The sequence below is a fragment of the Homo sapiens genome, chromosome 7 (assembly GCF_000001405.40).
Source record: "Homo sapiens chromosome 7, GRCh38.p14 Primary Assembly".
NCBI lineage: Eukaryota > Metazoa > Chordata > Mammalia > Primates > Hominidae > Homo > Homo sapiens.
Window position 1 is genome coordinate 151989493 of NC_000007.14, and position 23753 is coordinate 152013245.

General features: G+C 40.9%; 1 protein-coding gene across 8 annotated transcripts in view; it reads left to right on the forward strand.

Annotated features, from left to right (window-relative positions):
• The window catches only part of GALNTL5 (polypeptide N-acetylgalactosaminyltransferase like 5), a 63484-nt gene that overhangs the window by 33047 nt on the left and 6684 nt on the right, over positions 1 to 23753 (forward strand). For 7 of the 8 annotated variants that reach the window (NR_033169.2, XM_006715862.5, NM_145292.4 and 4 more), the window contains 2 exons: positions 13222 to 13471; positions 18335 to 18452. Coding sequence is in view for 7 of the 8 variants with exons in the window: in XM_006715862.5 (XP_006715925.1) it covers positions 13222 to 13471; positions 18335 to 18452 (368 nt within the window). In the remaining variant the exon portion in view is untranslated. Of the gene's footprint in view, positions 1 to 5711; positions 5850 to 13221; positions 13472 to 18334; positions 18453 to 23753 lie in introns of those variants that run through there. The other variant, XM_047419933.1, reaches the window with a different exon arrangement.

The window sequence follows — 23753 nt, forward strand, 5'->3', positions numbered from 1 at the left end:
ATTTCTGAATAGGTTATTTTTCTTTTTTACTATTACCTAAAAAATGCAGCAGTTACAATTCATGAACATATATCTTTGTGTGATTGATTGTGCCTGTAAGATAAATTCCTAAAAGTGGAATTGCTGGGAATAAGGGAATTTTTATTTTAAATTTTGAAAGATAATGCCAAATTGTCCTTGAAAAGTTTCACCAATTAACAATCTCATCACACAGATAAATTGCCCTTTCTCTGCAGCCAGAGATGAATATGGCCCGTCTTTTTAATGTTTGCCACAGTTGGCCAAAAAATAGGCTACCTTTTCTTTTCTTGGTATTACCAGCCATCAAATTTTTTCATATTTTCATAGATTGCTTACAGATCATTTTTCTGTCGATTTATCTGTTCATATTCTTTGCCAATGTTTCTAATGTGTTGTTTGTCTTTTTGTTATTGATTCAAACATGGCCTTATAACAGAAATTCTATATTATGAACACTGAGAATATCGGTCCTCAGGCTAGAGCCTATCTTTTCTTCTCCTCTGGGGTTGTCTTGTGTTGAGCAGAATTTTATTTATTTATTTATTTTGAGATAGGGTCTCACTCTGTTGCCCAGGCTGGAGTGCAGTGGCACAATCTCGGCTCACTGCAACCTTCGCCTCCTGGGTTCAAGTGATTTTTGTGCCTCAGCCTCCTGAGTAGCTGGGATTACAGGTGCCTGCCACCTCACCCAGCTAATATTTTGTATTTTTAGTACAGAAGGGGTTTCACCATATTGGCCAGGCTAGTCTCGAACTCTTGGCCTCAAGTGGTCTACCTGCCTCGGCCTCCTGAAGTGTTGGGATTACAGGCATGAGCCATTGTGCCTGGCTAGAAATTTTTAAGTCTTTAAGTTCACCAGAAAGCCCACTTCACTGGCTAACACAGTGAAACCCCTTCTCTACTAAAAATACAAAAATATTAGCCGGGCGTGGTGGCGGGCGCCTGTAGTCCCAGCTACTCGGGAGGCTGAGGCAGGAGAATGGCGTGAACCCGGGAGGCGGAGCTTGCAGTGAGCCGAGATTGCGCCACTGCACTCCAGCCTGGGCGACAGAGCGAGACTCCATCTCAAAAAAAAAAAAGCCCACTTTCTCTTGCTGGGCACAGGGCTAGACTGAACTTCCTAGCCTCTCTTCAATAGGAATAGCCTTGTGACTAAGTTTTAGCCATGGGATGTGAGTGCAAGTAACATGTACCATTTCCCGACCAAGGCTCTTAGGAAGCTGGTCTGTCCCCTCCACACTCATTTCCTGTTCTGGCTGACTGGGGCCAAGATGACTAAGTGACTTTGGAGGCTCTGGGTTGAAGAGCCTCCGCCAGCCTGCATCCCTGAATGACCACATGGAGGGCTTCCCTCAATCAGGAGCACCCGCCTTGGATGGCTAAATGCGTAGAAATAAACTTCCATTGCATTTGAGCCATTATCATTTTGGAATCTTATTATTATAATAGTAGCTAGCTTTAACATAATAAAAAACAAACATATCAATATTTTTCCTTTATGATTTTTGGGTTTTGTCTCCTGTTCAAAAAAATTCTTCCTTACCCTGCGATCATGATGATACTGTTCTTTTTGTTGTTGTTGTTGTTTGTTGTTGTTGAGATGGAGTCTCGCTCTGTCGCCCAGGCTGGAGTGCAATGGCGTCATCTCGGCTCACTGCAACCTCAGCCTCCCGGGTTCAAGTGATTCTCCTGCCTCAGCCTCCCAAGTAGTTGGGATTACAAGCACCCACCACCACACCCGGCTAGTTTTTGTATTTTTAGTAGAGACGGGGTTTCGCCATGTTGGTCAGGCTGGTCTCAAGTTCCCGACCTCAGGTGATCCGCCTGCCTCAGCCTCATAGTGCCGGGATTACAGGCGTGAGCCACTGCGCACGGCCTGATACTCTTCTTTAGTTTCTTCCTCATGTAAAAAAAAATTGATTTTTACATTAAACTTTGAGTCTACCTGGAACTGTTTGTTCTGCAAACGGTGTAAATTAAGAATGTAATGTAATTTTTTTCAGAATGAATAGCCAGTTTTCCCACACCGTTCATTGAATAGTCCACCATTTCTTCATTGGTTGCAATGCTATTTTTATCATTTTATCAAATGTCTATGTATTCCTGGGTCTATTTCCAGCATCTCTCTTCTGCTCTATGATGGTATTTTTGTATTTCTAGGCTAATCACGCTGTCTCTTGATTAGTACAGCTTGATAAGAAGTTTTTATATCTTCTTATTTTCTTGATAAGAAGATTTGTAGGACAAATCTTTCCACTTCATTCTGCAAGTGTCTTAGCTAGGATTGTCTTATCAAGTTCCAGGAAAAACGTGTTGAGATTTTCACTGGAATTGTATAGAGATGATAGATTAAAATGGGAAAGAATTTACATATTTTTGATGATAAATGTCCCCACCCATGGACATTTATTCAGATCTGCTTTTATATTCATTTGGTGTTTTGTCATTTGCTCTATAGATATTATGTGCAAAGATTTATTTCTGTTTATCTTGATTTTTTGGTTGTTGTTTTAAAAATTGTGATTTGGGACCTTCTTGTTATATTTTTAAATTATTACTGGTACATAGGAATGAGATCTTTTGGTATATTTGATCTTGTAAATAGAAACCTCAGTAAACTCTTAGTCGTTAGTGGTTGGTGGGTAGAGTCGCTTGCATTTTCTATCACCTGAAGGTAATTTTCCTTCTACCTCTAATGTTGATTAGAAGTGGCGGCAGCAGGCATCCTTTCTGCTTTTGACTTTCATGGGAATAATTCTGACTTATCATTTAGTTACTATGTTGATGTGTATTAGTTTCCTAGGACTGTTATAATGAAGTAGCACAAACAGGTGGCTTAAAACAACAGAAATTCATTTTTTCCCAGTTCTAGAGGCCAGAAGTCCAAAATCAAGGTGTGAGCAGGACCTCACTCCTTCTGAGACCTGCAGGGGAGGCTCCTTCCCTGCCTCTTCAGCTTCTGGCCGTGGCTGCCAGTCCCGGGCTGCAGCGGCGTCACCCTCGGCTCCGCCTCTCTGTTCACAGGCGTCCTCCCTGTGTGTCTGTGTCTGTGTCTTTGTCTCCCCCAACCGAATCTCAGAAGGACTCCAGTCACATTGAATGAAGGGCTCGCTCTACCCTGGTATGACCTCATTGCATCTGCAAAGACTCTGTTTCCAGATAAAGACACATTTTGAGGTTCCTGGGTTAGGACTTGAAAATATCGTTTTGGGGAACACAGTTCAACCCGTAGCACTACGGTCTGGATTGTTTTTGTTTAAAAGGGGAGTCTTATTTTTTTTATTTTGAAAATTTTCAAACCCACATAATACCCATAGAAATGCTCCCCTAGAGTCACTAGGTGTAGATGTAAATATCTCACAACACCCACTTCACACACGTGCTCTCCGCCCCTTCTCACCCCACGCACACGCATCGCATCTGTGTTCAAAAGTAAGATGCGGACTGGACACGATGGCTCATGCCTAGAATCCCCGCACTTTGAGAGGCCGAGGCGGGCGGATCACCTGAGGTCGGGAGTTCGAGACTGGTCTGACCAACAGGGAGAACCCCCATCTCCACTAAAAATACAAAAACTAGCCAGGTATGGTGGCACATGCATCCATAGCTACTCAGGAGGCTGAGGCAGGAGAATTGCTTGAACCCAGGAGGTGGAGGCTGCAGTGAGCCAAGATCATGCCATTGCACTCCAGCCTGGGCAACAGAGTGAGACCATGTCTCAAAAAAAAAAAAAAAAGGAAGATGCGTTTATGATTTTCTTTGTTTGTACTGTGTTCTTATACTTTTCACTTTACCAGACTCATAGAACAAATTGTATGGTTTTTCTTTTTTTCTAAAAATTTACATAAGACAGAGATTGACTGTGTGTGGGAACTTGCAGAGAACTGGCCAATAAACTGCACAGGCACTGGTGTCTTTTTTGATTTCCTCTTTAATCCACATTGTCTTCTTTTTTTTAGGAGTGATTTTGAAAGTTTCCAAACGATTTTCAGAGATTTTAAAAATTATTTGTTAATTATTTATTACTAAACTGTATTGTGGTCAGAAATTTGAAATTTCTGTTGTGGCTTAAGCTAGGTCAGTTTTTCACAATGTCTATGTGTATTTTATACTTTTTTTCTTTCTGAGACAGGATCTCTCTCTGTCACCCACGCTGGAGTGCAGTGGAGTATCGAAGCTCACTGCAGCCTCGAACTCCTGGGGTCAAGTGATCCTCCCACCTTAGCCTCTCAAATGTTGGAATTGCAAGCAGGAGTCACCACACCTGGCCTATTTTTTTAATTTTTGGTAGAGATGTGGTCTCACTGTCCTGCCCAGGCTGGTCTCAAACTCCTGGTCTCAAGCAATATTCTCCCATCTTAACCTCTCAAAGTGCTGGGATTACAGGCATGAGCCACCACACATGGCTCTTCTATGTGTATTTTCAAAGAATGTATATTTTTTCTTTATGGTTGTAGGTTCTGTGTGTGTGTATATATGTATAATTTTGTTCATATCTTTGATGATGGAATTCGACTTCATTTCTAAGTTTCTTAGAGTTGTACTGAAACCTTCAGCTATGACTGTGGATGTGTGCACCTACTTCTCCTGGCCCTTTGCCAGCACTTGCCATCTCTCAGCCTGTCTGTTCCCTACACCCCCAAGTGATGTAGGTGGCTGCCTGAGCCAGGCGTGCTCCTGAGTCACAAGTATGGGATCCTGTTGTGTGGGCAGGTGAGGCAGCAGCCAGCGGCCCTTCCTTAACTTATCTCTTGCCGACTGTGTGCTACCCATGCACATTTATTCTTTTCTTTTTTTCTTTTTTATCAACTCTATTGAGATGCAAACTGTACCTACTGAGCCTGGAGACGGGTTTTCACGTGATGTTCATGTGCGCACACTCCTTTGGAGCCAGGTCATCTTCCTGGGAGCTATTTGCATTATTACAAAGCGACGCTGTCTCTCCAGTAGGGCCTGCCGTGATGTGCTCCCTGCTTTCCCTGACCTTTCCCTTCCTTCCTCCCTCACCCACCCACCAGCTGCACGGGCCTTCCTGCTTCTCTCCCAGCCTGCCAAGCCTCATCCCGTCTCAGAGCCTCTGCCCGTGATTGGCTTCCCCTGGAACGTTCTTCTCTCAGGCATCTGCATGACCTGTTATCTTACTTTGTTCAGTTCTCTGATCAAATGCCACTTTATCACCATAGTCTTTCAAACCACCCCATATTAAATAGCAGACTCCTATCCCTCTCTATCATCACCCTTACCCCCAATTTTTTTTTTTTTTTGACAGAGTCTCGTTCTGTCCCCCAGGCTGGAGTGCAGTGGCGCGATCTCGGCTCACTGCAAGCTCCGCCTCCCGGGTTCACACCATTCTCCTGCCTCAGCTCCCGAGCAGCTGGGACTACAGGTGCCTACCACCACGCCCGGCTAATTTTTTGTATTTTTTAGTAGAGACGGGGTTTCACCGTGTTAGCCAGGATGGTCTCGATCTCCTGACCTCGTGATCCGCCCGCCTCGGCCTCCCAAAGTGCTGGGATTACAGGCGTGAGCCACCGCGCCCGGCCTCCCCCATTTCTTTCTCTTCATAATTCTCATCACTATCTGTCCATTTCTCTGGGCCGGTGGTGCTGTCCACGTGGCTGTTGAAGTCTCCCACAGGTTGCAGGAGCTGAGGTGGGCAGCCTGCGGTGAATGCTGTGCCGTACCTGCAGGGCATGAAGGAAACCGCCTGAGATGCAGGCAGATGGATAACCCCGCAGAGGAGGAGAAGGCAGGGGTTTTGCAAAGTGAAGAAGAAAGAGAATGTTGCAATCAGATGGCTTGAATCTAAAGAAATCTACGATCAGTTGGTATGAATTTTTTTTTTTTTTTTTTTTTTTTTTTTTTTTTTTTTTTTTTGCATGGGAGCGGAAGTGTCATGATTTGGAGGCAAACATGGGTGATGATTAAACCATGGATAGTGATGAAATGCTAGTGTTGCTTCTGGATGTGGGGTTCATGCAGTTTGAGAGAAGGAGTTTTTTTTTCTTCTATCAGCAACATTGCAGGGAAACAGTGTCTTCCAGGGAGAATTAGACAAGTCACTCTTCTGAGCCTCAGCCTGATAATCCAAATATGGGAATGATGCTATCGAACTAACATGGCTGTTACAATGATCAGATAAGGACATCACCTACATTTTTTTTGGCATTATGTACTAAATAAATGCTTATTATACAGCAATTAGGACAAATAAATAATTAAAACATAAACATTGAATTTTATCCTTCAAAATGATGAAATACATAAAAGTAAAAGAAATACAGGGTAAAAATAATAAAATACAAAATATTAATGGTGGAAAGGCTCTCAGAGGTTTTAGAACTCATCAGCCTTTTATCCCAGTTAAAGAAGCTAAGCTCCCGAAAGATTAGAGACTGGCTCTAGGTCACGTTACTCCAGGCTCAAACCCAGGAATTCTGATGCCATCTCAGTAGACAGCATCATCCCACCACCAGATTATGAGGATGTAGCTTACAAACAAAATTTGGGATATTTAATAGTATAGTTGCTTCGATTTCTTTTTACAAAATCCAGATGGCTAGGTTTAACAGATTTATAGTGAGTTAAATAGAAATGCTTATGTATTTTACAAAAACTGGTCATACGCTTAAGCACAGATTCTCTGTAAATACCCTGACACAGATTTTGCACACCACATTCTTTTTTTTTAATTTTATTTTATTATTATTATACTTTAAGTTTTAGGGTACATGTGCACAATGTGCAGGTTAGTTACATATGTATACATGTGCCATGCTGGTGTGCTGCACCCATTAACTCATCATTTAGCATTAGGTATGTCTCCTAATGCTATCCCTCCCCACTCCCCCCACCCCACAACAGTCCCCAGAGTGTGATGTTCCCCTTGCACACCACATTCTTGAACATCAATACCAAAAAATTGGAAAGATACAGCAATAACAGGCTGGGTGCCGTGGCTCACGCCTGTAATCCCAGTGCTTTGGGAGGCTGAGGCGGGAGGATTGCTTGAGGCCAGGAGTTTGAGACCAGCCTGGGAAACATGAGAAGACCTCATTTCTACAGAAATAAATGAACAAATAAAAATAAGCTAGGCGTGGTGGCCCGTGCCTGTAATCCTATTTATTTGGGAGGGCGAGGCAGGAGGATCGCTCGAGCCCAGGAGCTCAAGGTTACAGTGAGCTATGACTATGCCACTGTGCTCTAGACAGAGCAACACATCACAACCTCATCTCACAAAACAAATTAAAACAAGATACAGCAATAACATAACGTGTAGGTAAAAAAAAAAGAAAAAATATTTTTAAGATTTTAAAAATGCTTGGTTGTAGAGACCAAACTGAGAATTTTAATGTGATGTAAAATAAATTATATATAATGAGTTACGTTTAAGGGTGAAAATGTGGACACTAACCAAAGAACGAAAATAAATACAAAACAGAGAAAAACAGGAAATACTGTGAAATTGATACATACGCTATTTGTTGCTTTTCAAAAAACAAGTTAACAAACGTTGCAATCCACAATCCCTAGAGAAATGGTGCAAATAGACTACGACAGGAGAGCAGAAAATAAGCTTCTACACAGGGTAAGATGGAGGACGTAGCTCCCAACTCCAAACTTTAGGGAGCAATGGAATTGTTTAGAATATTTCCACAAATACTCTTTGGAAGCAAGTAGGGGAAGAATTCCTCTATCAGGCAGGCTTGACCTCACGCCCTTTACTCATCACAAGCACTAAAGAGAATCTGATGAATGTCTGATAGGTCATCTAGCACATGAATGATAGGCCATCTCTAAAACCAATAAATAGCACGGTCCTTCCCGAAACTCTCGAAGGCAGCAGAAGTAGAGCAACCGTCCTTTCCTAGCACCAAACTTTAGGTTTCCACAAAATATTCCTGTGAAGGAGAGAAATCAGCTGAAGAGGGACCCTCACTACTACTTTGCTCTCCTTACAGGATGTAAATTTCCCCTGTTAAATATTTTATGATGAGTGAAAATAAAACCTCATTGAAATGTAGGTGCTAGGTGGCCTGTTCCCACGTTTTTAACTTAAATCAAAATTCAGTAATACCCCATATTAATTTTGCATAAAGTATAATTTTAAATTATTTTGCAATTTTTAATATTGCATTTATGGTCTTTCTGGGTCATTAGAATCCTCAAAGTTGCAAATATTTAAATCTTTCAATATTAAGGGTACAAGTGTACACTGTATACAGTAAAGAGATACCACAAATCTGTATGGGAAAAAAGACTTTTAAAATGTTTTTGTTGCAGTTGTTGTTTAATGCCACTTAAACAATTAGCCATTTGGGAAAATTTTAGGTCTTTATTTCATACCATAACCCAAATAAATTATAACTGGATTAATGTTAATTTTATTTTAAAAAATCAAACCATAGCCAGGTGTGGTGGCTCATGCTTGTAATCCTAGCGCTTTAGGAGGCCAAGGCAAGAGGATTGCTTGAGGCCAGGAGTTCTAAGACCAGCCTGACAACACAGTGAGACACCATCTCTACAAAAATTTTTATTAAAAAAAGTAGGCGAGTGTGTTGGTGCACACCTGTAGTCCTAAGCTACTCAGGAGGCTGAGGCAAGAGGATCGCTTGAGTCCAGGAGTTGGAGGTTATAGTGAGCTATAATAGCACCACTCCACTCCAGCCTGGGCAACAGAGTGAGACTGTCTCTGTAAAAACATCATCATCATCAAACTTCTTAAGGGATAATTTAAAAATATAAAAACATAGATTAATACTTGCCTGTTTTATGAATAAAGAAATTTCAAAGCTTAAAACCAATGGAAAAGGTGCTAAAAAAAAGTCTATTTTTTTAACAAAAAAATGTAAAATTGCTGCAAATAAAAAATAATAAAATTAAATAACAGTAGGCTGGGGAAATGTAACAGGACTAAAAGTTAATATTTTTAGTATGTAAAATGTACATTTAAAATCCATTAAAAATACAACTCCAAGCTGGGCATGGTGGCTCACGCCCATAATCCCAGCACTTTGGAAGGCTGAGGCAGGTAGATCATTTGAAGTCAGAAGTTTGAGACCAGCCTGGCCAACACGGTGAAACCCCATCTCCACTAAAAATACAAAAATTAGCTGGACATGTTGGCAGGTGCCTGTAATCCCAGCTACTTGGGAGGCTGAAGCAGGACAATTGCTTGAAGCCAGGAGGTGAATGTTGCAGTGAGCTGAGATCATGCTACTGCACTCCAGCCTGGGTGACAGAGCGAGACTCTATCTAAAAAAAAAAAAACAAAAAACAAAACTACTCCGATAGGCAAAGTACACGACAATTTCATTTACAAATGGCTAATCATGTGGAAAATTCAACCTCACCAGCGATTAAAAAAAAATTAACCAGATTTTTTAAAATTGAGGCACGATTAACATAAAACTGATCATTTAAAAATGAACAATTAAGTAGCATTTCGCACCTTCACAATGTTGTACAGCCATGACCTCTAACTCCAAAACATTTTCATTACCTGAAAAGAAAGTCTTTTAGCCATTAAGCAGCTTCCTTCCCTCCAGTCTCTGGCAACCACCTATCTGTGTTCTGTCTCTTTCTAGATATTTCATATCAACGGAATCATACAATATGTAACTTTTTGTGTCGGGCTTCTTTCACTTAGTATATTTTTGAGGTTCATCCACATGGTGGATGTGTCAGTGCTTCCTTTTTTATGGTTGAATAATATTCCATTCTGTGATACACCACAGTTTGTTTCTCCATTCATCCATTGATGGGCATTTGGGCTGTTTCCCTCTTTTGGCTGTTGTCAACAGTACTGCTGTGACCATGCACATATATACATTTGTTTGAATTCTTTTGGGCATGTTCCTAGGAATAGAATTGCTGGGTCTTATGGTAATTCCAGGTTTAATTTTTTGAGGAGCTGCCAAGCTCTTTTCTTCAGTGGCTGCACCATTTACACTCCCACCAGCAATGTGTAAGAGTTCAAATTTCTCCATATCCCTGCCAAAACTTATTTTTCATTTTTTAAGTTCTCGTCATCCTAGTGGAAGTGAAGTGGTTCTTCACGTTGGTTTTGATTTGTGTTTTCCTAATGACATGATGTTTCGCATCTGTTTGTGTGCTTGCTAGCCATTCGTACATCTTCTTAGGAGAACCAGATGTTATTTTTCACCTATCAAATGAGCAGACATGATTTTAAAATGCTAATAATGTTACGTAATATTATAGAAGCTATTTTAGGTGAAAAATGTGAAGTATAAAGCTGTGTGTGTGCTGCCAATAGTATGAAAACATATGTGTTAAAAATGGGACTCTTGTTAGCTCAGTTTTGGTTGAGGCATGAAAATCATAGCTGTAATATTCCAAAGTGAGTTGTTAGACTGACCACGATAAAGATATTTCAAAATAGAGATCTGAGAACCAATGAGATGGCTCAGCCAGATTGAGTCATGTTGTTAGAGATTAAAGGAGATTTTTGGAGAAAGCTACTGCTCAAAGCCTGGTGAGAGAGACTTGATATGAATTCAGCACATTCTCAGACATCAATACAATAAAATTGGAAATATATTGGGATTGAGGAGAAGTGAACTAATGTTAGTTTTCTGCCGAAAATCAAAAGGATAAAAAGACTGTGACCAGCTGTAGAACAAAGGACACTTGCTTTTAGATTAGTAGCTGTATTTATGGCAGAGTTTGCTTTGGCAGTGTTGGAGAGAGAGCTATAGGGATCATCTTAGATGGTGTCCGGTAGGACTATCTAGAAGAATGGACAGGCCTCAGCAGAGAAGCTGGAGACAGAACACAGGATCTTAAGGAGCTGAGAAGACAGATTGAGTCACCAGAATAGAATGCACTTGCCCAGTTTGTGGGAACTGCTGACCAGAGACCACCAGGGATGAGAAGGGAGGTCCTCAAAGTTGCTATTGCCAGCCACACACCCTCAGAGAACTCAGCCCAGAGAGTGCCCTTCAGGCAAGAGAGAACTTTCCTGTTCTCTGTACTCCTCCCCTCCCACCCATCATTCCCAACAGCACTGGACAAGTGTTTCAATTTCTCCACCACCTCCCCAACACTTGCTATTGTCTGTCTTTTTCATTCTTGCCGTCCTAGTGGATGTAAAGGGATACCTCACTGTGATTTTTATTAACGTTTTTCTGATGACTAATGGTGTTGAACATCTTTTCACATGCTCATCAGCCATTTATACGTCTTTGCAAAGATGTCTATTCAAATCTCTTGCGCATTTTAAATCAGGTTGTCTTTTTATTACTAACTTGTAAGAATTATTTATATATTCTCATACAAGTCCTTTAGTATATGTATGATTTGGAAATACTTTCCCCCATTTTGTGGATTTTTTTCTCTTTCTTTGTTTCTTTTTCTTTTCTTTTCTTTTTTTTCTTTCTTTTTTTTTTTTTTGACAGAGTCTTGCTCTGTCACCCAGGCTGGAGTGCAGTGGCACGATCTTGGCTCACTGCAACCTCCGCCTCCTGGGGTCAAGTGATTCTCCTGCCTCAGCCTCCTAAGTAGCTGGGATTACAGGCACCCACCACCACACCTGGCTAATTTTTTTTTTTTGTATTTTTAATAGAGACGGGGTTTCGCTATGTTGGCCAGGCTGGTCTTGAACTCCTGACCTCAGGTGATCCACCCCCCTCAGCCTCCCAAAGTGCTGGGATTACAGGCATAAGCCACCGCACCAGCCATTTTTTTTTTTTCATTTTCTCGATTGTGTCTTTTAAGCACAAAAGTTTTTGCTTTTGATGAATTCCAACGTATATGTTTTTTCTTATGTCCCCTGTATTTTTGGTGTCATATCTAAGAAACCATTGCCTCACCTAAGGTCATAAATATATGCTTATGTTTCCTTCTGAGTTTTATAATTTTAGCTCTTACCTTAGGTCTATGACCCATTTGATTTGATTTTTAGTATGATATGAGGTAGGGGTCTAACTTCATTCTTTTGCATGTGGATATTCCGTTGCCTCAGCACAATTTATTGAAAAGACTATACTTTCTCCATTGAATTGTCTTGGCCCTTGTCAAAAATCAATTGACCATAGACACATGGTTTATTTCTGGTTTCTGTGTCTATCCTTACACCAATGGCACACTGTTTTGATTATTATCACTTTGTAGTAACCCTTGAAATCAGAAAGCCCTTCAACCTTATTTTTCTTTTTCAAAATTATTTTGGCTAATCTAGGTCCATTGCCTTTTCATATGACTTTTAGGATCAATTTCTTTAAAAAGAGCCAGCTGGGATTGCAATAGGGATTGCACTAAATCTGTAGATTAGTATGGGGGTTATTGCCATATTAAGTCTTCTGATCAAAACATGAGATTTTTTTATACCTTTCTAATGATTTTACACTGGCTACAAGAAAAAGTCTAAACTCTGCTACTTGAAGTTTGGGGTTCCTTCTACATCAAGCCCCTGGTGTACTTCAATAATACACTTTCTCTACTTTAACCATGCCAATTATTCCCATGTCCTCTAAGCAGAATAGGTCCCCACTGAAGCTTGAACTCAAAGGCTGAGGTGGGCGGATCACCTGAGGTCAGGAGCTCGAGACCAGCCTGGCCAACACGGTGAAACCCCGTCTCTACTAAAAATACAAAAATTAGCCTGGCATGTTGGCAGGCACCTGTAATCCCAGCTACTTGGGAGGCTGAGGCAGGAGAATTGCTTGAACCCGGGAGGCGGATGTTGCAGTGAGCCAATATCATGCCACTGCACTCCAGCCTGGGTGATAGAACAAGACTCCATCTCAGAAAAAAAAAAAAACTTGAACTCAAGAGCAAAAGTCGTGATGCATGTCTGCATCCCATGCACCAAACTCAATGCCTAAGAAGGTGTCCTTTCAGTAAAAATTTGCTAAATTTAAGCTGATCAGTCAAGACCAAGCTAAAATCATTTTTTAAAATGGAAATCCAGTTCAGTTCCACCTGCTCCTTTAGAATTCTCCCCAAAACCACTCTCTAACCCACAATTACTGGCTTCCCCTCAACATCTATGGCACATGATGTTGCATATTTTTGTACATAATAATGTATTTCTTGTTTCCTTCCAATGAAAATGAAAGCACTGTAAGAGCCAAACACATAGTAAATGCTCAAGAAATATTCATCACATTGAACTTTGATTTGGATTGCCGTATTTTTTCAGCTATGTGGACTAACATTGCCCTGTTCTTGCCTCCCCAGGGGATGTTCTGGTGTTCCTGGACAGCCACTGTGAGGTGAACAGAGTATGGCTGGAGCCCCTGCTGCATGCCATTGCCAAGGACCCCAAAATGGTGGTGTGCCCCCTGATAGATGTCATTGATGATAGAACTCTGGAGTATAAGCCCTCTCCTCTTGTAAGGGGAACTTTTGATTGGAACCTACAATTTAAATGGGATAATGTTTTCTCTTATGAGATGGATGGACCAGAAGGATCTACTAAACCAATCCGGTGAGATTTCTTCTGGTTTTGGAAAAATATAGCATACGTGTATTGAGACCCAGGGGGAAAAAGCCTCCAGAGATTATTCTTTCAAGTTCTTGGGCTTAATCAAAATGTTATGTTACTTGTTTCTAGAAGTCTTTAATACAGTAATAGAATTATTGTTAATAGAATCACTTAGGACTCAATATATAACGTGATATGATATTTATCTTCATATCATCTATAACTCTTTGATTCTCTGGTACTGAACACAATCCTATATGGATTCAATCATGACTTTCAGGAGCAATATTTCATTTGACTAAAAGCTCAAGTCAAACAGATCTGGTTTGAAGGAGAGACTCCATCATTTGTTAGCAGTTTAGGGCTGCCATGTACAGTTGCACCAGCTGTGCACTGCACATCTCCAGGAGATACTGTTCACACAAAGACCACAAGGTCAATGGCATGTCTGGAATTGTACATTAAGATGGCCCTCAGTTGGCACAATTACCTCTCTCAACTTCAATGTCGTCCTCATCTGTTAAACAGTGATAGTAATAATTAACACATTTCTTAGGATCGTTGAGGGGATTAAATGAGCCAATACATGTAAAACACATAGCATAAGGCTTGACACAGAGGAAGTGATCTGATCAATATCAACATTAGCTACAGTAATGTCACAGACTTTGGAACAAAGAGGAACAAAAGTGTACTTTATTGTAATAAAATGTAATATGTAGAAATCTCAACTTAATAAAAATAAACAGCATTAATCTTTTGAGTTATCTCAAAACTATTTTAAATAGTTACTTTTAGTAAGAAATAGCTATGGTGTTCCAATTACACAAACTTGGTTTATAATTTTTGTAATATTTCCATATCTCACATATAAAACATTTTTAGGCTCTAATGTAAAAATAACTGATATTCAACAGGGAAACTGTATTCCTAATATTTATTTGCTAAATGGTAAAATGTTTAGAATTCTAATACACTGCTCGTGTGTATATACATTGGATCATTCTTTTTGAAAACAATTTGGCAATGCAAATTAAGAATCTTATAAATATCCTTATTCTTTGATGCAGTAATCCACTTACTTGAATTTATTTGAAGAGAGTCAGAAATAAGCACGGAGATATATATAGTGTGTCAATATTTATATTCATAAAAAACTGAAAACAACATATTCAATACTATTGAAATGGGTAAAAAATAAAGTATATTCATTTTTATGGACTATCACATAATCATTAAAGTTAAGTTTTCAAGGGCTAATTAACTAGAAAGAAAACTTCTCATGTGTTAAATTAAAAAATCAAACCATAAAAAATGTTCTGTCAGTATACCTTTGTGTGATTAAATATGTACCTATTATATGTAATATATATTATACATATTACATATATTATAATTGTATGTTACATTAAAATATATAATATGTATAAGAAAACATAAGTTATTTTTTAAAGGTTAAAAGAAAAAATAAATTTTATTTTGTTATTTTATTGATTTATTATTATTTGTATAAATATAAGGGGTACAAGTGCAATTTTGTTATATGGCTATATTGCCTAGTGGTAAAGTCTGGACTTTCCAAGTATCCACCACTCAAACAATGTACACCGGACCCATTAAGTCACTTCTCATCATCCATTGCCCTCCTGTCACCACCCTTCTGTCTCCAATGCCTGTCAGTCCACACTCTATGTCCATGTGTATACATTATTTAGTTCCCACTTATAAATGAGAACATGTGTATTTCTCTTTCTGCTTCTGGATTGTTTCACTTAAGATAATGGCCTCCAGTTCCATCCATGTTGCAGCCAAAGACATCATTTTATTCTTTTTTATGGCTGAATAGTATTCCATTGTGTATATATACCACATTTTCTTTATCCAGTCTTCCACTGAGGGACACTTTAGTTGATCCCATGACTTTACAGTTGTGAATAGTGCTGTGATAAACATACAATGGCAGGTATCTTTTTGACACAGATGATTTCTTTCCCTTTAGGAAGATACCCAATAGTGAGAATGCTGGATTCAATGGTAGTTCTACTTTTAGTTCGTTGAGAAATCTCTGTATTGTTTTCCACAGCGGTTGTACTAATTTACATTCCTACCAACACTGTGCAAGCGTTCCCTTTTCTCCTCATCCTCGCCAGCATCTGTTACATATTAGTCATGGTATTAATTAGCATTCATATCTGAAGATACATTTTTCCCTTAGTTCTAATGACGACCAAAAAAGCTAGGTGCAATGAGTTTTGGAAAACTTAACACACACACACACAAAAAGCAAAATCATGCCTAGGGCTTAAGCCAATGATAACTCAAGACCTCCCCAGCTCCCTGACATGCAGGCATCACCATGACCAAGGATCATGCCCTTTTCCCCCAGCCACCTGCCCTTTTCTAAGGGCAGAGCAAGGCCCTTTCACTTTCTCCCTGCTGTCTCAGACCACAGCTGACTCCAACGTTTTCGGCCTGCACACCAAATGGACGGAACTGCAGTGCCCTGAGATGAGAAATACCATGAGTGGAGCAGGTTTTTGGCAGGAAGATTCTCTTTGGGGCATATTTGAGATGTCTATTTGGCATTCAAGTGGGGATGTGAAGTAGGTAGTTGGATGCAGTTGGATACATGAGTCCCTTATGAGATGGATGGGCCAGAAGGACCTACTAAACCAATCTGGTGAGATTTCTTCTGGTTTTGGAAAAATATAGAATATGTATATTGAGACCCAGGGGGAAAAAGCCTCCAGAGATTATTCTTTCAAGTTCTTAGGCTTAATCAAATTGTTCTGTTACTTGCTTCTAGAAGTCTTTAATACAGTAATAGAATTATTGTCAATAGAATTACTTAGGACTCAATCTATAACATGATATGACATTTATCTTCATATCATCTATAACTCTTTGATTCTCTGGTACTGAACACAATCCTATATGGATTCAATCATGAGTCTGGAGTTTTGAGAGAGGTCAGGGCTGGAGGCATCCTTTGGGAGTCATGGATAGGATGGATGAGAATCACTATGTGGGTGAGTGGAGAAGTGTAGAGGACCAGCCCTGAGCCCTGGGTGCTTCAACATTGACAGTTGAGAGGAGGAGAGGAACTGGCAAAGGAGATGGGAAGGAGCAACCAGGGAGGGAGGAGAAGGACCAGGAAATCTGGTTCCCTGGAGGCCCAGGGAGGCATGTGTGTCCAAGAGAAGGGTGTGGCCAGCAGCATCCAACACAGTGGCTGGATCAGCGAGAGAAGGACTGGAAATGAGCATTGGACTAAACCATGAGAAGGTCATGAACAAGTCTTAATTGTGAATGGCGGGAGGCGAAGCCTGATGGAAGGGAGTTTAAGGGAATTAGAGATAGTGATGGACAAATCTTTCTAAGGCTTTAATACGAAAGAGAGAAAAGGGGACATAACTGACAGGAAGTGGGGTCAAAATAAGGCGGTTTTAATTTTGTAATTGGCAGAGATAACAGCATGACTGGATTCTGATAGGAATGTTCCTATCTGGTGCACTCGGCAATGTGTGTCACATCTGGTGCAGTAGGCACCCCACACCCGACCCATAAGCAAATCTGTTAGCTCCATCTCCAAAATATGCCAGGAATTCAACCGCATCTTACTACCTACATTGCTGCATTCTTATCCCGGATCCCATTATTTTTCTCTGCAGCCCCTCTAATTGGCTTCCCTACCCTTTCCCCTACACATGGGTCTTGGTTTGTGTGTTGAGTGACTCATATCCCTAAAACATAGGTGCTCAATAAATACTTATTTGAACAAATGAATGTAAACTTGTGATTATTTTTCTTTTTCTTTTTTTTGGGGGGGGCGGGACAGATTCTCACTCTGTTGCCCAGGCTGGAGTGCAGTGGTGCGATCTCAGCTCACTGCAGCCTCCCAGGTTCAAGCGATTCTCATGCCACAGTGTCCTGGGTAGCTGGGATTACAGGCGCGGGCAACTGCATCTGGCTAATTTTTGTATTTTTCGTAGAGATGGGGTTTCACCATGTTGGCCAGGCTGGTCTTGAACTCCTGACCTCAAATGATCCACCAGCCTCAGCCTCCCAAGTGTTGGGATTACAGGTGTGAGCCACCACACCCAGCTGTGACTATTTTCAAACTACTTAGTTTGGTATTATTTGGCCCTACTATTGGTGGACAAAACAAGATGCTTCTTAATATTATGGTTTGTCCAGAAGTAAATATTACAATTCACCTAATGTCTTTAGAAAGGGAGAGCTCTGAGCCCTGCTACCCAGTTCAATTGTCATCCTCATGGGAAACTTACATTCCAAATATCATTTTCCTTCTCATTAGGAAAACATTTAGAATATATCGCATACACATTTTGGTGAGAACTAAGTAAAAGTTATTGCCTACTTTTGTTGTGGTTTTTAGTAATTTTATATACTTAAATGTATAATAGGATAATTTTAGTATTAATGTTTTCTCTTTTTTTTTTTTTTTTTTTTTTGAGACAGAGTCTGGCTCTGTCGTCCCAGGCTGGAGTGCTGTGGCACGATCTCAGCTCACTGCAACCTCTGCCTCCCAGGTACAAGCGATTCTCCTGCCTCAGCCTCCCGAGTAGCTGGGACTACAGGCGCATGCCACCTTGCCTGGCTAATTTTTTGTATTTTTAGTAGAGACGGGGTTTCACTGTGTTAGCCAGGATGGTCTCGATCTCCTGAACTCGTAATGCACCCGCCTCGGCCTCCCAAAGTGCTGGGATTACAGGCATGAGCCTCCACACCCGGCCTGTTTTCTCATTTTAAACTATAAGTTATTACTAATTTAATATAATTTTGAGGAAACTACAGAATGACTTTCTCTGTGAAATTAATTTCATATTTATGTCCCCTTTCTAGGTCACCTGCAATGTCTGGAGGAATTTTTGCTATACGTCGGCATTATTTTAATGAAATTGGACAGTATGACAAGGATATGGATTTTTGGGGAAGAGAAAATTTGGAACTTTCACTAAGGGTAATTCAGATTTCATTTTTAAAATAGCTATAGAGAGTGAAACCTAACTTTGTCACATACAATGCTGTGGTAATTATGCTCAATTTTCCTACATGAACATCCAGTACCATTCCAGCAGCACATGCAATAAACAATTTATGGGGCTCCTTGTAAAAATGGAAAACATTTAATAAAATATTAGATTCTTGGCCTGGTGTGGTGGCTCATGCCTGTAATCTCAGCACTTTGGGAGGCTGAGGCAAGTGGATTGTTTGAAGCCAGGAGTTCAAGACCAGCCTCAGCAACATAGCAAGACCCCCATCTCTACTTTTTTTTTTTATGAGATGTGGTCTCGCTATGTTGCCCAGGGTGGTCTTGAACTCCTGAGCTCAAGTAATCCTCCCATCTCGGCCTCCCAAAGCACTGAGATTACAGGTGTGAGCTACTGTGCCTAGACTCTACTTCTTAAAATAAATATATTTAATTTAATTTAAAAATATTTGGTTCTTATACCATATGTTTTGTTATTTCTGATGTATGGTATATCAAATTAATATAATATTTTAAATCTATTGTCTTTATTGTCTCAGTAGTTGTGTTTTTTCCAATTTTTTCTGTTTTGGATTTTATTTTCTCTCTCTTTTCCTTCCTTCTTTTGGCCAGTTATTTGTTCACTTTTAAAGTTCCCAAGCAGACTTCTTTCATAATGCTTCAGATACTTGATTATGCATATAAAAATATCTAGAACAATATAGTTTCCTCCAAGCCTCTATCTGATGGTCCCTCTTAAGCTTGTTGTTTTTGTTGTTTGTTTGTTTGTTTGTTTGCTTGCTTTGTTTTTTTCATTCTCATGTTCCCTTTGGACGTAGGCATTATTTTATAACGCTCATGCCTTTGGCGCATTTTATTCTGTTTAGTTGATTATTCCTTGTTTTATTATATTGCACTCTAAGAAAATGGCTCAAGGAGTTCACCTCCTTTCAGGATCTAATAACTGTGATCAGTTTTGTGTATTATACAGGCAGAGTTGGAGAGTCAGTATATTCCTTTTTCTGGCCCTACATTCCCTATAGATAGCAAATGACAACTAATTTATTATTCAAACATTAATTATTCCTACTCCAATATTTCAATGGCGCCTTTCCTGATGGCCTGTCATATCTTTTAAATATACTTGGGTGTCTTTTTATAAAGAAGTATGTAAATTAATAAGTAGCTGAAATATTCTCTTGACACTGGCAGCTGTCTCTAACCACGACAAGTAACCTTGTCTTTCCTGAGAAAAGAATGATCTCTGCACCTGCATACACCTCTTCATTTCTCGTTTACTCCTCATTCCAGTAAATCGATATCCTGGAAGGCCCTCAGCTTTCCGTGACATCGTTCCAGGAACTGCCACCAGTTTTGTAGTGATGTCCTTAATGGATGGCTTTTGATCTTCCATCTATCTGAGGTCATTGCAGCATCTGACACTAAACTGTCTTTTCTGGAAGTTTTCTTGGACGTTAGGACAATATTCCTGGTTTGCCTTCCATTGCTCAGTTGTTCTCAGTTTCCTTTGTAGGAATTTCTGCTGTGGCTCATCTCTTAGACACAGGTGTCCCCAAGGTTTCCATCCTTGTCAGACTTTGCTTCTTACCCCATGTGCTCTTCAGGGCTCAGGGCTAGCATCCAGGTCCTCTGCTCCTGTGAAGCCACACTGGTTGTTAACATAATGCAGTCTTTCTGCATCTGGTGTGAAAAAACCTCTACTCTGAGCCAACCAAATACCTTCCACCTGCAGCCCAACCATAGGTCTACGCTCCCTGGACCTTCCCATGTTCCAGTAACTAAGGGAATAGCACTTGGCAGGGCAAGTCTACTCTGATCGCCGAGGGTCTGTGCCACACCCTTGTTGATATTTTTAGTAGGATACTTGCATCAGTCCCCATGGCTGTAACTAATACCTGTATCACGATAATATCCAACTCTATAGTTTCAGTTTAGGACTATCTCTTGAGAGTAATATTTAAGCTCAATCTAGCCATCATTTAAGGAGCACTTCCTTTAAGTCAAACTGTGCTGTATGCTGAGCATTGAGAAGAAGACACAGTCTTCATTAATTCATCCATGCAACAATATGTATTGAGTACTGTTATGTATGAAGCACTGTGCTGGGTGCTAAAATACAGTGGCACACAATACGAAAGTGGCTTCTTTTTTTTTTTTGAGACGGAGTCTTGCTCTGTCGCCAGGCTGGAGTGCAGTGGCACGATCTTGGCTCACTGCAATCTCCGCCTCCCAGGTTCAAGCGATTCCCCTGCCTCAGCCTCCCGAGTAGTTGGGACTACAGACATGCACCACAACACCTGGCTAATTGTTTGTATTTTAGTAGAGATGGGGTTTCACCATGTTGGCCAGGATGGTCTTGATCTTCTGACCTTGTGATCCGCCTGCCTCGGCCTCCCAAAGTGCTGGGATTACAGGCACAAGCCACCGCGTCCAGCCAAAAGTGCTTCTAATGTCATGAATCTTCTATCTATTGAGTAGGGTGAGATTATCAGATATTTAATTTTATTTTTGGCCCAGGTGCGGCAGCTCACACCTATAATCCCAGCACTTGGGGAGGCCAAAGTAGGTGGATCACCTGAGGTCAGGAGTTTGAGACCAGCCTGGCTAACATGGTGAAACCCCGTCTCTTCTAATAATACAAAAATTAGCTGGGCATGGTGGTACACGTCTGTAATCCCAGCTACTCAGGAAGCTGAGGCACGAGAATTGCTTGAACCTGGGAGGTGGAGGTTACAGTGAGCCGAGATCGTGCCACTGCATTCCAGCCTGGGCGGACAGAGCGAGACTCTGTCTCAAAAAAAAAAAAAATTATTTTTGATAAATGCAATAGAAAAATACAGAGTATTATGGGACCCTCTAAAAGGAGAACCTAGCCTTCTCTTGGGGGATTATGTGTCTTAGATGGCTTCCCTGAAGAACTGACATTTAAGATACATGTAAAGGATAAAATATATTTTATTTAACAAGTTCTTATATCTGACATGCACTGCTCTAAAATCTTACAGATATTAACTCATTTAATCCTCCTAACAAACCTGTAAGGTAAGTACCACCATTATCTCTGACTTCTAGTGGAGAAACCGAGCCACAGAGAGGTTGAGTAACTTGCCCAAATTCACAGAACTAGTAAGCACTCTGCTCCCAACCTGTTGCTTCCTGCCTCATGCTGTCTACTCAACTTCAGGTCTTGAGACCCCACCAGCTCAGTTCCACCCTGTTTCTAAGTCACTTCCATCTGAGGCCGGCAATGTATTGGAAGCCTCCAATGCTCTGAATTTTTTTTCAGTTGCCCTGAACTCAGTGCTACTATTGCTCGTGGAAAGTGATGGTTCGTGGATGCCCACAAAGCTACAGGTTCACTTCCAGTCTCTGAATGGTTCTGGTAACTGAGCTTCAACATGGCATTTCAATTTTCCTGGCAAAACAGAGGCTGGCCTCAAACAGCCCCAACAATCTGCAGTCTTGGTTCACCTGATCTCCCCGACACCTGCAGTCCATCCTGCCATCCCCAGATGCTGGCAAGGTGTGCTGCTCCAGGAACCAGGGCCTTGCCCTGCACTTGAAAGATTATCCCTAGAGAAGCCCTTTTCTCTGCCTCTCCCCCATGCTGAACCTCTTAGATATCAATGCCAGTTTAGACTCCACCCAAGGTTGCTAAATCTCCTTGGATGCTCTGGTGTGAAAACAAACCATATGTTCTGTAATAGAGAAATAGTCAAGCAAATTCTCAAACACCTGCACAAGGGAGAATTAGGCAAGTCACTCAACAGTCTCCTCCTTCTCTGCCTGGAACACTCCAGTACCTCAGTGGGTTACCCTTGGCCCATCTGCTCAGAATTTCTATTCCTAAGAGTTTTAGGATTCAGGCAGTTATTGTCACAGCAGCAGTCAGCTCTTGCCATCATGATGCTATGTAATAAACCACCTCAAAACTGAGTGGTTGAGAACAATAAGCATTTACTTTTTCTTTCATCTGTCCATGGTTGGCCAAAGTGGCTCTGCCTCAGAATACAGGTTGTTGGGCTGGGCTCTAGTCTCTGAATTGGATTCAGATCTGATTATCATTCTAGGAGTAGCAGCGACTCACAGCATATCCTTCTCATGCTGAATGGCAGGAATTCAAAAGTCAAGCCAAACCACACAGCACATTTATACCTCTGCATGCATGATGTGTGCTCACGATCCATTGGCCAAATGTGTCAAACAGAGAAGCCCAAATTCAGTGGGTCAGGGAAACACGCTGTTCTGCAAGATGAGGGACAAGGACTGAGCTGTTTATTGAACAAGATTTCAATCTATCACACCAAGTTTCTGGAATGACCAGCTAAGTGGATGGAGGTCTTATTTACTTGAGTAAATAAAACTGGTGTTAGCCAGTCAGAATGGCTATTACTAAAAAGTCAAAAAACAAACAAACAAACAAAAAAACAAACAGATGCTGGCGAGGCTGTGGAGAGAAGGGAATGCTATACTCTGCTGCTGTGGGAGTGTAAATTAGTTCAACCATTGTGGAAAGCAGTTGGGAGATTTCTCAAAGAATTTAAAACAGAACTACCATTTGACCCAGCAATCCTATTACTGGGTATATTACCCAAAGGAATATACATTGTTCTACCATAAAGACACATGCATGCCTATGTTCTCATTGTAGCACTTTCCACAATAACAAAGACATGGAATCAACCCAGATGCCCATCAACAGCGGACTGGGGCCAGGCATGGTGATTCACGCCTCTAATCCGAGCACTTTGGGAGGCCAAGGTGGGCAGATCACTTGAGGTCAGAAGTTCATGACCAACCTGGCCAACATGGTGAAACCCCATCTCCACCAAAAATACAAAAATGAGCTGGGTTTGGCAGTGTGTACCTGTAATCCCAGCTACTCAGGAGGCTTAGGCATGAGAATCGCTTGAACCTGGATGGCGGGGCATCCAGGCTGGATGACAGAGCAAGACTCAGTCTCAAAAAAACAAAAACAAAAACCAGTGGACTGGATAAAGAAAATGTGGTACATATACACCATGGAATGTTACACAGCCATTTAAAAATAATAAAATCATGTCCTTTGCAGCAAAGTGGGTGGAGCTGGAGGTCATTATCCTAAGCAAATTAACACAGGAACGGAAGACTAAATACTGCATGTTCTTATTTACAAGTGAGAGCTAAACATTGTACATGGACACAAAGCAGGGAACAACAGATACTGGGGCCTTCCTGAGGGTGGACTGTGGGAGGAGGGTGAGGATAAAAAACTACCTATTGAGTGCGATG